At 40.1% G+C, this 14,898-nt stretch overlaps 1 protein-coding gene and 1 pseudogene across 1 annotated transcript in view, besides 1 other annotated feature; both read right to left on the minus strand.

The window, feature by feature from the left end:
• CFAP43 (cilia and flagella associated protein 43) overlaps positions 1–14,898 on the minus strand; it is a 102,477-nt gene that overhangs the window by 21,671 nt on the left and 65,908 nt on the right. The window contains exons 24-28 of the mRNA NM_025145.7: positions 12,536–12,742; positions 10,759–10,845; positions 10,403–10,483; positions 9,479–9,604; positions 1,049–1,168 (exon numbers count right to left, since the gene is read on the minus strand). Of these exons, the coding sequence (NP_079421.5) occupies positions 1,049–1,168; positions 9,479–9,604; positions 10,403–10,483; positions 10,759–10,845; positions 12,536–12,742 (621 nt within the window). The remainder of the gene's footprint in view (positions 1–1,048; positions 1,169–9,478; positions 9,605–10,402; positions 10,484–10,758; positions 10,846–12,535; positions 12,743–14,898) is intronic.
• Positions 3,870–4,537: an enhancer, noted in NCBI's record as "NANOG-H3K27ac hESC enhancer chr10:105915186-105915853 (GRCh37/hg19 assembly coordinates)". NCBI's record gives its function as "activates a minimal SCP1, AML or CMV promoter by ChIP-STARR-seq in naive H9 embryonic stem cells {active_cell/tissue: H9 hESC(naive)}" and the evidence as "EXISTENCE:reporter gene assay evidence [ECO:0000049][PMID:30033119]".
• Positions 4,851–5,987, minus strand: LOC751602 (tropomyosin 3 pseudogene; annotated as a pseudogene).

The raw sequence follows: 14,898 nt of genomic DNA on the forward strand, positions 1-14,898 counted from the left end.
GTCTGTTCATGTCCTTGACCACTTTTTAATGGGGTTGTTTTTTTTCTTGTAAATTTAAGTTCCTTGTAGATGCTGGACCTTTGTCAGATGCAGAGTTTGCAAATATTTTCTCCCATTCTGTAGGTTGTCTGTTTACTCTGTGGATAGTTTCTTTTGCTGTGCAGAAACTCTTTAGTTTAATTAGATCCCATTTGTCCATTTTTGCTTTTGTTGTGGTTGCTTTTGGTATCTTCATCATGAAATCTTTGCCAGTTCCTATGTCCAGAATGATATTGCATAGGTTGTCTCCCAGGATTTTTATAGTTTGGGGGTTTACATTTACATTTAAGTAGATCATTATTCTATTCTTAAACTCAATGGATAGTTTGGCTGGGTATAGAATTCAAAGCTAGAAATAATTTTTTCCTCAGAATTTAAGGGCATCACTCTTTGATCTTCTTGCTTTTAGTTACTGCATACTTCATTTTTATTCCTACTGCTGAAGATAATTAAGACAGATTTTTTTTCACCTGATCTTTTGGGACATGAGGATTACTTTTTCATTCAACATACACTTTGAACAAAGCCCTTTGCTATTTGCTGGAGATACAGGGATGAACAAGACAGACTTAGTCTCTACCCTCATGGAGCATCTAGTCTTGAAAGCATTGAAAATAATCTCACATAAATTACAATTCAGTAGCAATGAATGGTAGAAAGGAAAAAATACAGTATATAATAGAAAGATATTACCTAGTGTGAGGAACTGATTTTTGAGCTGGGATCTGAAGGATGAATATAGTTCAGGAAGCAAAGAAGTGTTGGTAGACAGTATTACTGGCAGAGTTGGCAGAGGCATGAGGAGGGAGGGTATTGGGTGTGTTCAAGATGTTCAAAGAGGAAGTGTGGCAGGTAAAGGGGAAGGTGCACAAGATGAGACTGGAGAGGGACGCAGGGCCCAGAGCATACAAGATCTTAGTACCTGGTAAGGATGTTGATCTTCATCCTAAGAACCATGGAAGGGCCCTGCAAGCTCCTTAAAAGTCACATAAGTAAAGCTTTTATTTACCTGGTTGGTAACCATCTCTGCCTTCACTCTCCTTTCAAAAAGTCTTTTCAAATGTTCATCAAAGGCCTGTGTGCTTTCTTGAATAGAGTTTTGAAGTTTCTTCAGTTCTGCTTCTAATGACTAAAAGGAAAACAATAGTAAAGTTAACGTTTAAGAGTATTAAAGGCTCCTAGGAAGTGATGTTTACATTTCACCACAAGGGAGGGGCAGATGGAGGGCAGCCCTTGCAAGGTGTTCTGGGCTCTGTACTCTCTTAAACCAGAGATGCTCCCACTTGGATCTGTTTAATATACTGTGTGTTGAGATTTTTGCTTAGAAAAGATTACATTGGGGAAAAAAACTTAAAATTACTGATCATGGCTAATGATACAGGCAGAAGTAGGCCTAGGAAAGCAAATTGCAGCAAATCTTTCCAGAAAATCCTCACTCTTTATATAGGACAGCAATCTCCAGACACATGATTTAGCCCTAAAAAATTTTTTATTTTTCTCAAGCACTGGTCATTTTCATGGAATTATTTCTATTTTAAGGAAATAAGAAGTGAATGCACATATATGTATATTTATATATTTGTACTCTCTTGTTTTCTGTATGTTTTGTCTCTCCAAACAGTTCTATATCAAAAGGAAAATGTTCCCTTGTCCTCTCTTTTTAAAAAATTCCACCAGGACATAAGTGAAATATAAATTTATATTTTTAAAGAGAACAACATCAAAATATGAGGTAAAATTTTCATTGCACAACAGGGTGACTATAGTCAACAATCACTTAACTGTACATTAAAAAATAACTAAAAGAGTGTAACTGTATTGTTTATAACCCAAAGGATAAATGCTTGTGAGGATGAATATCCCATTCTCCATGTTGTGATTATTTCACATTGCATGCCTGTATCAAAACATCTCATGTAGCCCACAAATATACACACCTACTTTGTACCCACAAAAATTAAAATTAAAACATACAAAGTAAAAAACATGTAAAAAATGAGGTATATTGCTATAAATCATTTTTATCTTTAAATTTGTTTGCAACTGTTAATTTTGATATAACTTCAAACTTATAGAAAAGTTGCAAGAATAGTACAAAGAATTTCCATATACCTTTTTCAAAGTCACCAACTGTAGACATTCTACCCTATTTGCTTTATCACTTTTCTCTCTCTCTCTCTCTCTCTTCTCTCTCTCTCCCACCCCCTGCCCCTCTGCCCCCTACCTATCTACTTTCTTTCCTACACTTTTCTGAACCATTTGAGAATAATTTGCAGACACTTGAGGACAGGCCACTTATTTTGTAGAATGTCATTCAGTTTAGGTTTGTCTGATGTTTTCTCAATTGTACACCCAGGTTACACATTTTTAGCAGGAACACTATGTAAGTTATGTTATGTCCTTCTGTGACTACCCCATCAGGAGATACATGATGTTGGTTTGCTTCATTATTGGTGATGTTAACTTGGATCACTTGGTTAAGTAGTGTCTGCCACTTTCTCTATTGTAAAGTTAGTTTTTCCATTTGTAATTTATTAATTTGTGGAAAGATACTTTGAGACTATGTAAATATCTTGTTTCTCATCACACTTTTATCTAACAGCTTTAGCATCCATTGATAATTCTTATTTAAATTAATTATTACTATGATGGTAATAAATAGTTTAAATATACACCAGTTTAAAAAGTTGAAAAGCCAAGTTCTCTCTATGCCAGATTAATAAGGAAAGAGACTGATTCCGGGAGGATAATGGAGAAAGAGGTTTAGCAAAAATAATAGAGGCATATGATGCCAGGACAAAGACCATCCAAATTAAGCTACCTAACAGTGAGGAGATATGAAAATAAAACAAACAAATATGAAAAAAACACATCTCAGGGTCATTTGCTTGTAATAATTTATATTGCTATCTCATAGCCACGGAAAAGTCCCACAGATTGTGTCCTTCTGGTGGCCCTTTATCAAGTTCACCTGTTCCTAGATAATGAAAACATCAGCATATGGCAAATGGCCACAGACCCAGCTGGCTGAGGCCAGATTGTCTACATGTCTTAGATCCACCCTTCTTTAAAAACACTGAGATTCTGGGCCTTTTGAGGGTCTCTGGTCCTGAAAGAATCTTTTTGTAGTGTAAAATGGCCCTTTGCCATTTCTTCTTCAAATGCCCCAAATTCTTCCCACTGCAGGTCCTTCTCACATGCTCTTCCATCTGCCTATGCTTCATTTCCCACTCTTCGGCCTCTTCAGTCTTTCTCACTTTTCCAATGCAAGCATAAATGCCATGTTCTCAAGGAAGAGTTCCTTGGGCCCTGTCTTAAGTCTCAGAAGCAAGGCCTGAAACAAGATTCCAGGGCACATGATTTCTGGAGGGGGCGCTCTTTAGGAGACACCTGTAAGGGGGTGAGGGAAGCAGTGCAGGCAAGGGGCAGGAGCTGAGCAATGAAGCCATCTCAGGTGGCCCAGCCTTGGCTGGGGAAGGGCAGAGGAAAAACCCTGATTCCCAGGGTTGGGAGAAATGAGAGGGACTCTGCTGAATTGTCTCATCTTGGGGTGAGGAGGCTGGGCTTTTGTACCCCCTTCACCTTGGGCTCCATCAGCCGGTCACTGGCTGCCCTGGGTGAGGGTAGTGGTGTAAACTTGGCGATGTCTCTGGACATGGAGGCTCCCTTGATCATCCAAGGGCAACAACATTCCAGAGAAGGTCTCAGGTGTAAAAGCCTCTATCAGGAGCACTCATAGCAGTGAGGGGATGGGCACAGCAGCTGGCAAAGGGGATCTGGTGGGTACCAGTGGCTGATCTAAGTCAATGTCTGTGTTCACCATCATAGATGGCACCCTGAACTTGCCCTTCTAATTTATCACATTGCAGTTAAATAATTATCTTGCGAATGCACAGTTACTATATAACCGTCTTCACTCCACATAATGGTCATCTTGAAGGGGGTAGGGGAGGAGAGGCACAGGTAAAAATGAACTCAGCCAGGAGGTGATAAGTACTATGGAGAACCACAAGGCAGGGAAAAAGGGACATGGGGCAGGATTGAGGAGAAGCAGGAATCTCCACCATAATAGGAAGATGAGGTGACAATTGAGTAGAGATCTCAAAGTGGTGAGAATGTGAGTCATGTAGCTAAAAGGGGGAAGAGCGCTCCAGGCCAAGGATACAGTGTGTCAAGGACCTGCAGCGAGAATGACCTACAGGTGTTCAAGTCAAGAGTTTGCTGGGTATCTGAGGAACAGTAAGGAAATCAGTGGAACTGGAACAGTTAATGAGGGAAAGAATGACAGGAGATGAAATGAGATGGGATATAGGGATTGGGGGAGGAGGCAGGGGGCAGAGGAACTAAGGCAATAAAGCCTGGGAAAGGTGACAGACAGTAGTTTGCATTAGAGTGGTAGCTGTAGAGGTGTCAGAAAAGCAGCTACTTTGAAATAAAAAAGAAGGGACTTAAAAGGGCAGAGGTGTGGTCTCAGGGTACTGCTTTGGGGAGAAAAGGGCAACTCGAAAGAGGAAAGTGCCCTGTGGAGACTTGGGAGTAAAGGGAAAGAAGGAAGAGGTGGAAATTAGGGGGTCATATAGAAACAAAAGAAAAATCATAAAATCGGAAGACACACCAGCCTCTTCCCCATTGCTTAAAGAAGTCAACTGTATATCAAACTGGTAATGTTATCCTCACAGAAAGGGGAAAAAAAGAATTAGTCAAAGTAATTCTAAACATAATATGTTGGTGTATTCTTAGCGGGATATAGTCTAAGAACAAAAAAAAAGCTACTAGGAAATCCGAAAATAGCTATAGTATTTGTTTTGTTTGTTTGGAGGGACTGTTTCTTTATTTCCAAAAAGATACCTGTTAATATTCAGTATCACAATGGTTGCACTATTGGTTTCTCTTTCTCCCAATTGGCCCCAAAGAGACTACATCAAAGAAGAGTACATTTTAAGCCAATAAGCTTCAGGATGTAAACCTAACAGACCTTACACAAAAACCTTACCAAAAAGTGGGGATTGAGTGGGAAAGAATCTTTAAACGATCAGCAAACTGCCAGCCCACAGACTAGAGAGCTCTCACAGTCAAACAGGGTGGCTCGGATGCCACAAACCCAAAGAAGCAAAGTTCCAAAATAATATAAAATTTAAAAGGTTTTGTACATAACTTGTTCAAAATTTGTCCAGCACCAACTGATACCAAGCACAATGATATGGTACTTTTAGAGACAGCAGCTCGAAACCCAGAAAACGGCAAGGAGATGGGGTTTATATGGCTAAATCGGTGGCAAAAACACAATCTTACTTCTTTCTTTCAAGGACGCAGGAGAGCAATTAAGTGGTCCCCTCAACATAAGGGGCACATGATCCATTCTGTAAGCAACTGGCAAGGGGATAGGGATGGGACAAAAATTTGGTCTCAGAGGTCTCACCATCTTAATTTTGGTCACTTCTAATGAAAAAAATAAAACAAGTAAAAATAACATTGTCTAAAGATATCTTAAAGCTGAAAACCTGAACTGCACATTTTTGTTGTTGCTGCTGTTTGGCTAACCCCTCCTGGAATCACCTTTCTGGTTTAGCTGATACTTTGTAGAGAACAAAGTGGTTTCCCACAGGGGAGTCTTTCCCTGGACTCTGTTTAGTTCTCAGTAAGGCAGGCCCATACCTTTTTCCTTCCTCTACAGAGAGGGCAATGTGCATTAAGCTGAAAAGTCACCTTCCAAAAGTGACAAAGGGATTAGACTGCAGAGCTGTAGAAGTATTTGGAATGTTTTACATATGGTTGCTATAAAACAACAAAAAAGGTAATTACAAAATGTGCACATCACAACATGCTTTTAAGGACATTATGCGTTGTGCTCATGTTCCCTTAAATGTTGTTACCAAAGGGGCTCAGCGTCTAGCCCAGCTGGAATCTCTGGGAAGAGGCAGAGATAGTTTGGTGAAAAAAACATAGGGGGTAGATGGGACAGCATTTTTGATAGAGGTATTTTATGTACATTGTAGGACTGAGCAAATCAGTAAGTATATGTGTATTTTGGGAACTAGAGTTTTCACTGAAAAAGGGAGACCTAAATATTAAATGAAGGAAAGAGAAAAGAACCCTGTGCTGTCGAATTGGAATTGAGTTGGAATTGGAGCTAACTGGATGTGTGTGTGTGTGTGTGTGTGTGTGTGTGTGTGTGTGTGAGAGAGAGAGAGAGAGAGAGAGAGAGAGAGAGAATGACTCCTAACCCCTATAGCAAAGAACACATCTGGTATCCAGATCTTGGTCTCTAAATACCAATTGCCAGCAAAAGGAATCCAGGATTCTCTAAAAAGAAAAATAGCTTATTCTTGGTGCCTAAAACATCTTGCTGTGTTAGAAACGGAGAAAGTGCTCAAAAACTGATGAGGACACATGAAAAGGACACAGATGACAACTTGAAGAAGCTCCGAACACTTTGAACAACAGAAATAATAATGATAGTCATGGATTAAAACACATTAAGTTAGAGTATGCCTCTGGTAGGGCAGAGGAAAAGCTCTTCTTTGCAGAAGAATACTAACTAATAAATATAAATGATAAAAGCTAGAAAGGCACCGTTTTGCAATCACTACAGTAATAATTGATTCAGGCAAGGATCATCAATGGATGCCAAAAGACAGAATGAACAGAGAGTCAGATTCAAAATGTCACCCCCACAGGTTAGTTATTACACACGAAGGAGAAAGAGAACTTCTATAACAAAGAAATCTGGAGAAACCTTCTTTCCAGTGATCATACTTAATGTTACCAACAGTGGGACTGACTGAAATCTGGAACCTCCTGATACGATGCACTGAAGACACAGCATCATCTACTTAGTATGATTGTCAGAAATACTGCACCTAAATCTAATCATGAGAAACCAATCAAATTCAACTTGGGGGACATGCCACAAAAAAATAAGCCTCGATTTTTAAAAAATGTCAATGTCATGGAACACAAAGTTGTAGAACTGTTGTGGATTAAAGGAGACTAAAAGAACATTACAAACTAAGTGAAATTGATTAGATTTTTTGATAAACACCAATAAAAAAAGTTATGAAGGACACTACTTGGACAACAGGGTAATCTGAATATAGACTTAATTAGATAATCATATTAATATTAAGCTTCTTTTGTATGATAATTTTACTGTGGTTATGTAGAAGAATATTTTTGTTCTTAGGAGGTTTAAGCTGTAATATTTAGGAATATCATGATATCTGTGATTTGTCTCCAACTATTCAGGAGAAAAAGAGAACAAATGTGGCAATATAAAAAACTGATGTGCACAGGTATACATATACAATATATATATAACATATACGTAATATATATGCCATTGGTACAAATATATGGTATATAGATGGTACTATTCATGTAACATTTATGTACATTTGAATAATTCTAAAATAAAAATTGGTGAAAAAAATAATCCAATGTTAGGGAAGTAAGTGGAGGTATAAAATGAATTAAGATTGGCCGTGAGTAGATAATTGCGGAAGCTGGATAAAGGGGTCATTATACTGTTCTCTCTATTTTTATACATGTTTGACATTTTCCACGATACAAGATTTTTTTTTTACTTGAGAGAGAAATTGAAAACCATCAACATAGATTTTTTTGAGTTTTGCAGTAAAGGAGAGCAGAGACATTGAGTGATCCAGGGGGAAAGAGAGGCCAAAGGAGTTGGGTTTTTTCCTTTTACTTTTTGTTTTGAAATAAATTTATACTGACCCAAATATCACAAGAACAGTAGAAAGAACTCAAGCATTTCCTTCCAGGAAGTATTTTTTTAATAAGATGAGAGATGTATACAATTATAGCATGTGTCTACACTGATGGGGAAAATCCACAGGGTGGGAAAAATTGATGATGCAGGAAAGAAGAGGGTAAACTGATGAGTAATGACATTGAGTAGGTGAGATGGGATGGTGACTAGTGCACCAGGAGAGGACCAGGCTTAGGTGGATGCAAGGCCATTTCACCCATAAGAAGCAGAAAGGCAGACGCCATGGATTCAGTGGAGCTGGCGGGTGGATGCAGCAGTAGAGGAGTAAGGGAAATAACTTTTAGTTGTCTCTCTTCTCTTAGTAAAATAGAAAATAAGGTGAGAGTGAGTTGAGGGCGTCAGGTGTTGAAAGTTTGGGAGATGCGCAACGGGTGTGAAATGGTACTCTAGGATCCTGCTACTTAAAGTAGGGTCCACTGGACAGCAATAGCCTATTTGGAGTGCAAAATCTCAGCGTCCTTCCATTTTCACAGAGAAACAATGAAATCAGAACCTGCATTTTTAACAAATCCCCCAGGTGATGCAGATTCGCATTCAAGTGTGAGAGCACTTGGCTAGGGGAAAAATGGAGTAGCATTGCGGACCAGCTCTAAGGACCCAGTTGAGATTAAGGTCATAATTTTGAGTAAACCCAGTCAATAGTTTTTCTTTAGCCACTTCATGGGTGCAGGTGCAGAGAAGGCAGAGTATCAGATTTAATCAAGGCTGGGGTTTCAGCAGGTGAGTACAAAGAAGGTGCAGGGACATGAGGGTGCAGGCAGTGGACTATCTTACAACACAAAACTGTGGAGTAAATGTAGTTGATAGGTCATCAGCCTTTATTCCTTAGGCATCTATACTCCATAACTCTTTGAAATCTTTACTTCTTTCAGTATTACTGATTTTGGCTTTGAGTAAGAACCATTTTAGGTTAAAATACAAGGGACCCTACAGGGCCACAGTGAATAAAAATGTGGACAGGTTCACAACAGATTCAAAGAAGCTCTTCATGAGATACAGCCACTAGCAAGCTGGAAAGCTGGCCTACCTTGAATGATGGTATGACTTTACTTCCTTCTTAGAAGAATAAATATTATTTACTTGACTGCACATCACCGTCTTTTATATCTCTACTGTAATTGTGAGCAATTTTAATGTGACAGTGTTTCCTTCTGATGGATGGGGATAAAAGTAGCAGAACTGCACTGTAAAAACCTTGAATTTGAGTTGTAAATAATGTACTGCATTGATTATGCCATTTGTTATTCAAACCTTTTTCCTGAGATGGAGAACAAATCAAGCAAAAGTATTACTGAATTCAAATAAATGTACACAACACAGAGCAATACCTTGCCGTGACTTGAACATGTTGTATTAGGGGTTCATTGAACACCTGAAGAATGAATGAAGGGCCAAATGAATTGTAATGACACGGGAAATGCTGAAATCAATAACAGCTTTAAAAAAACTATTGCTGTATGTTTCTTTGCTTTAAAATTGGTTTAATTCCTTAAATTTATCTCCACTTACTTCTCCAAATTCTCTTGAGAATTTAAGCTGAAACACTGTCCTTAAGCTATTAAAGATATCGACAAAGTAGAAAACATTTGAAAAGATATTTAAACAGCACTCTGGATATGGTAGGTTATATTAATTATTTGCTCTTCTGACCTTTCTATACTTATCTCTTTCTTCATTTAACTCCTTTACTTTTTTCTCATAATCTTTGAATTGTTTTCTTTCTTCTTCAGTCCACACAGCATCAGGTTTTGCCATGAAAGCAGGTTGAGGAATCACCTGAAGATATGAAGAAAAGCATATATTTCAGCTCAAACGTTAAATGCAGTAGTACAGTAAAAGCTCAGAGTTTTTTTTAAAAAGCCCTTTAAAAGGATACAGTCCTTCACATTGGCAAGGAAAACGACCTGACATCTTGGGCAAAAGATATTTTAAAATTTTACAACAGTTCTTCTGTGACTTAGGTGAAGGTGAGCAGGGTGGGATATACCTGGACTCTTAGGTGATAGACTCAGAGGGGTGTGTTGGTATCTTTATAGTGAGAACTACCCCTGAGCCCCAGGAAAACCTATGTCAGGTATCAAAGAAAATGTTTCCTGGTATATCTGGATAATTACTGATGAAACAGTATTCCTGCCTTCAATAGAGACCAAAACCACTGTAGTTACTTATTTTTATTGATTTGTTTGTGTCTTGTCAGATTGGAAGGCAAACCTGCATTTTCAAATTTATTATCTGTCTAACGTGGTATGTTTTTGGTTTTCTGAGACAGGGTCTTGCTCTGTCTCTCAGGCTGGAGTGCAGTGGTGTGATCACAGCTCACTGTAGCCTTGAACTCCTAGCCTCCTGCCTTGAATTCCTGGCCTCCTCACTTAGCCTCCTCAAGTGCTGGGATTACAAGCATAAGCCACCACGCCAGGCCCTAATGTGGTAGGTTTATAAGGTACTACGGAGGTTGTATAATAGTTGTTGCTGTAGAACTTCTAAAACCCAGGTTTATATAGGACAAAAATGGTAAAACTTAAGTAGCTCTTTCCACCCCATTCCACCTTCTATAAGGATGAACAGAAATATCACCATTCTCAAAATATCTTCCTTCTTGACTTCCAGAACTCCTCCCATCATGTCCATCAGAGCTCGGAGTCTTGTACTGGCATCCTGGGAAAGAGCCAGAATCAGAGAGGAATACTGAGACAGAGACCTGACATTCCAGGTGGCTCCAGAGGCAGCTTCCCACCCAACATTAGAATGACTGCATTTGGGATTGGGGAAGGTAGGTAGTGCCTGGAGGAGAGAAGGGGAAAGGAGGCCAACTGAGATTCAAGTGACCTCTGACCACGACAAATGTGTTGATGGGTTATTAAACCAAACTAGGAAGCAGTATCCCTAAAGCAAAGAGGGTCTTAGGACCTGTGTTAAGCAAAGCTACATGCCTGTATCAGAAGCCAGTGCTCCTTTTCATGATTCACGATCAATTCTTTGGCTTTGTGCCACGGCTTAATGTGTTTGTGGGCTGTAATCTGAAAGAGAAAATGTCATTTCCTGCTATTATTCTTACAAAATTCAAACTAAACTTTCCTTCCACATACTGGGAGGAGGCTGGAAGATACTAAGGGGATTAAAGGGACTCTGCAGACTTTGCACCCAATTTTCTGTTTTGGAATAAGATGAGGTCTAAAATGAGAGAGTTGGAAAAATAGATCTTTACTTCTCTATTAACTCTCAAAGCTTGTGTCCACCACTAAAAAGATTATAACAGGGAACCTGATAGATTAAGGAGGGGAGGGAGGGGGGCTCAAAGAAGTGCCATCTAAGCCAAATTCTGAAGGATGGGGGTCCTAAGAGGTCGAGAGCTTGGGGCATTCAAGGGACTGTGTGAATGAAATTGTGACCAGAATGGAGCCAGGTGGGAGAGAAGTTGGGCAAGAAAGGGGGTGGGGTGGGCATTTAGGAGGAGGCTCGTGGGCTTTATCCCAAGTGAAGTGAGCAGCCACTGCAAGGGGTGAGGCAGAGAAGGGACATAGTAAGTTTGGCTTGCAGCAAGAGCACTCTCCTAAATGTAGGATGGACTAGAGCCCAAGGAGAAGTAGGTACAAAGTGACTGCCCCAAGCAGGGCCCTCCAGAGAGCAGCAGAGTGAGGTCCTTGCTGTCACCTTGCTCCAGAGTTTTAGGTCACATAGTGAAAGTCTGGTTTAGGAAAAATGACTTGCTTAAACAAGTACAGCAGAGTGCACAGGTTAAGAGGATGAACTCTAAGGCATGATGGTTTGGGTCCAAAGCCCCAACAATGACACTTACTAGCTTTGTAACTGTGGTCAAACTACTCAAACTCTCTGTGTCTCACTTTCCTCATCTGTAAAATGGAACTAATATCAGTACCTACCTTATGATGACTTACAATGATAAATTCATTTCAATCCATCTAGGGCACCACGAATGGTGCCCAGCCAATATCCAGCAGAGACTGTTAAAATATTTTCTATTACTTCTAAACACCACTATTATCTTTTGTCCCCAGGAGTCAAGTTGGTTTTATGTGAGAAAAGGTCTTTCTTTGAGTATTCTTTAGCATTTTTTTTTACTTTTAAAAAATGAAATATTGTCAGATTTTAATTGTTTTCTTTAGGCATTTATTTCCAACTGCCTCTGTGCCAAAACCTTTAAAGAAAGCTGTCCGGAGAGCCCCTTTCTCTGGGATCCACACCGCCTGAATGACCTAGATCACTACTGGAGCTCCACTGGCCTCGTTCCCGCAATGTGACCCAACCACTCTGGGTACAGGCACTGGACCCCAGCTGGGCCAAGGAGCCCCTTCCCAAATGAACTGGGAATTGGGACTAAGAGATTCTAATTCAGACCAGCTACTTTCTCATGTGGAGGAGATACAAAGTAGAAATTGCTAGAGGAAGTAGAAATGCAGAGTGATGTGAACTAAGAGATGAAGATAGAAGGCTTCTGGGCCTCCCATGAGGCTCTAGTCTTTGGTTTCTGCTTCTTCCTGGGCTCAGTGTCCAAATCTTCCCTGGACTCCACAGGATTCGTAAAAGAAATTCTCATCATTGCTGAGGCTACATCATGTCTTTCTGTTACCTGCAACTGAGAGTGCTACCCAGTACAATCACTTCCCACAGAGTAACCAAGTTGAACAAATAGGAGCTGGGGAAAGTCTCCTGAGAAAGAAGGGAAAGGAGAACACAGCTAGCCAGTACCTCCTCATCTTGCACAACAAGCGTTCTCTCTGGCTTCTCACAGTCTTCAAATTCTGGTTGCCAGACTGCTTCTTCCAATTCCAGATCTAAAATAATTTCTCGAATTCGAACATTTCTTTCCTTCACGCGTGCAATTTCAAACTCTTTTTGTTTATATGCAGCGTCAAACTCATTATTGAAAACAGTTTTTACCTTGTAAATGATATCCTGAAATATTAACATGTTACTGAAAACACATCACATATTATATCTTTACTGGTAACATGATCCCACAATTATACTTTCCCTCTAAAATCATTCCACAAATTTTTTTTTTTTTTTTGAGATGCAGTCTCGCTTTGTTGTCCAGGCTGGAGTGCAGTGGCATGATCTCTGCTCACCGCAAGCTCCGCCTCCCGGGTTCACGCCATTCTCCTGCCTCAGCCTCCTGAGTAGCTGGGACTACAGGTGCCCGCTACCACGCCCGGCTAATTTTTTTGTATTTTTAATAGAGACGGGGTTTCACTATGTTAGCCAGGATGGTCTTGATCTCCTGACCTTGTGATCCACCTGCCTCGGCCTCCCAAAGTGCTGGGATTACAGGCGTGAGCCACCGCGCCTGGCCCCACAAATTATCTTTTAAGAAGGTAAAATGAATCTTTCTAGAATACTACTTAATATTAAGTCATTTCTTGGCTCAATAATCTACAGTGGCATCCAGGTATGGGTAGGATTAAGGCTACCACATAATTGTTAGACTATAACCTACTTCCTGAAATGTAAATTGTAACTCCATGTGCAGGTTGACAAATGCTGAAGTGGGTGATGGGTAGTTAGAGGCTCATTGGGCTATTCTCTCTACTTTTGTACAAAATCCACTATAAAATATTTAAAAAGCAATATACAGGATTTAAGTTGGCACATGTCTTTTCTTTGGAACCTGGGTTGGGGTAGATGTGGAAAAGAAGAGATAGTTTGTAGAAAGTATTTGGAGAATCTGCCAGAGAATCACCACCACACACAATACTCTTCTTCTATATGAACACACCATTCTCAGGTAGGAAAGAAACCTGTGCTAGCCAGCTGGAGTAACCAATTCCTAAGGTGCCAGTGGGACCAACTGGATTGCCCCCACTCCTGGTGATGGGTCAATCCAAAGTGGCCTTTATGTTGCCATAGGAGTTTAGTCTATGTCTATCCTACTGAAGATGAAACCATTAAAGCAAGGTGAAAAAAATGATCTGAACAGCTAGCACAAAAATTTCTCTTGGGCTGAAATTACCTCCTTGTAGGAAAACACCTTAATTAAAAGCAGCAAGAAGGTGAGACCCTGAAGGCAGAAGCTGAGCAACAAATGAGGTAACTAAATAGCTCTGAGTGTAAATGAACAGAAATTTCAGGGGCTAGAGCATAAAAAGAAGAGGATAGGAAGAGAGAGCTAAGAACATGGCAGGAGACTAGAATTCAAATTGCAGACGTGGCTGGAGGGTTTTCAGGAACAGGGATTGCCAGCATTCAATTTCAAACTATCTTCATTGGCACAATCTCAGTCACTGCCTTTTCAAAAACCTTCAGTCAGGGTTTCTACATGTATAGACGTATTCTAAGACTGTTTGGTGGAAAGTTAAGGAGTAGGAGCTTAGAGCCAGAGGGACCCCAACACCTTGTCCTCGAACCCCAGAATTTACAGAAATTTAGAGGAAATTGTCTTTCCCCAGGTTAAGCAGATAGATAAACAATAACATCTTGATCTTACAGGGAAATCCTAATTGACATTTGGGTATACCGAGAAAACGGAATTCTAGTGTTTTCTTTTCTCTTTGAGCTTACTGAAGTCCAAAACAGAATGGTTTGTGGTGTCAGCTGTTGTGGAATGTTCTTTAGAAAACTTGGTATCACAGTAACCTAGTCCAAATGGTCGAACGCAACTCTTGTACACAAGATCTGTCTAAAGGACATGGACAGTATCTGTATATTCCTCTATGTATTGTTATTTATTTATTTATTTTGAGACAGTGTCTCGCTCTGTTGCCAGGCTGGAGTGCAGATCCAGCTCACTGGCATGATCTCGGCTCACTGCAACCTCCACCTCCCCAGTTCAAGCGATTTTCCTGCCTCAGCCTCCCGAGTAGCTGGGATTACAGGCACGCACCACCATGCTCAGCTAATTTTTTAATTTTTAGTAGAGATGGGGTTTCACCATGTTAGCTAGGATGGTCTCGATCTCTTGACCTCACGATCTGACTGCCTCGTCCTCCCAAAGTACTGGGATTACAGGTGTGAGCCACTGTGCCCAGCCTCCTCTATGTATTTTTAAATCATCATTTGATTGGCATTTGTTTTCAATGTGAGGCCTTGAAAGCCACCTAATGGGGAGTCTAGAG

This window comes from Homo sapiens, chromosome 10, assembly GCF_000001405.40.
Source record: "Homo sapiens chromosome 10, GRCh38.p14 Primary Assembly".
Taxonomy (NCBI): domain Eukaryota; kingdom Metazoa; phylum Chordata; class Mammalia; order Primates; family Hominidae; genus Homo; species Homo sapiens.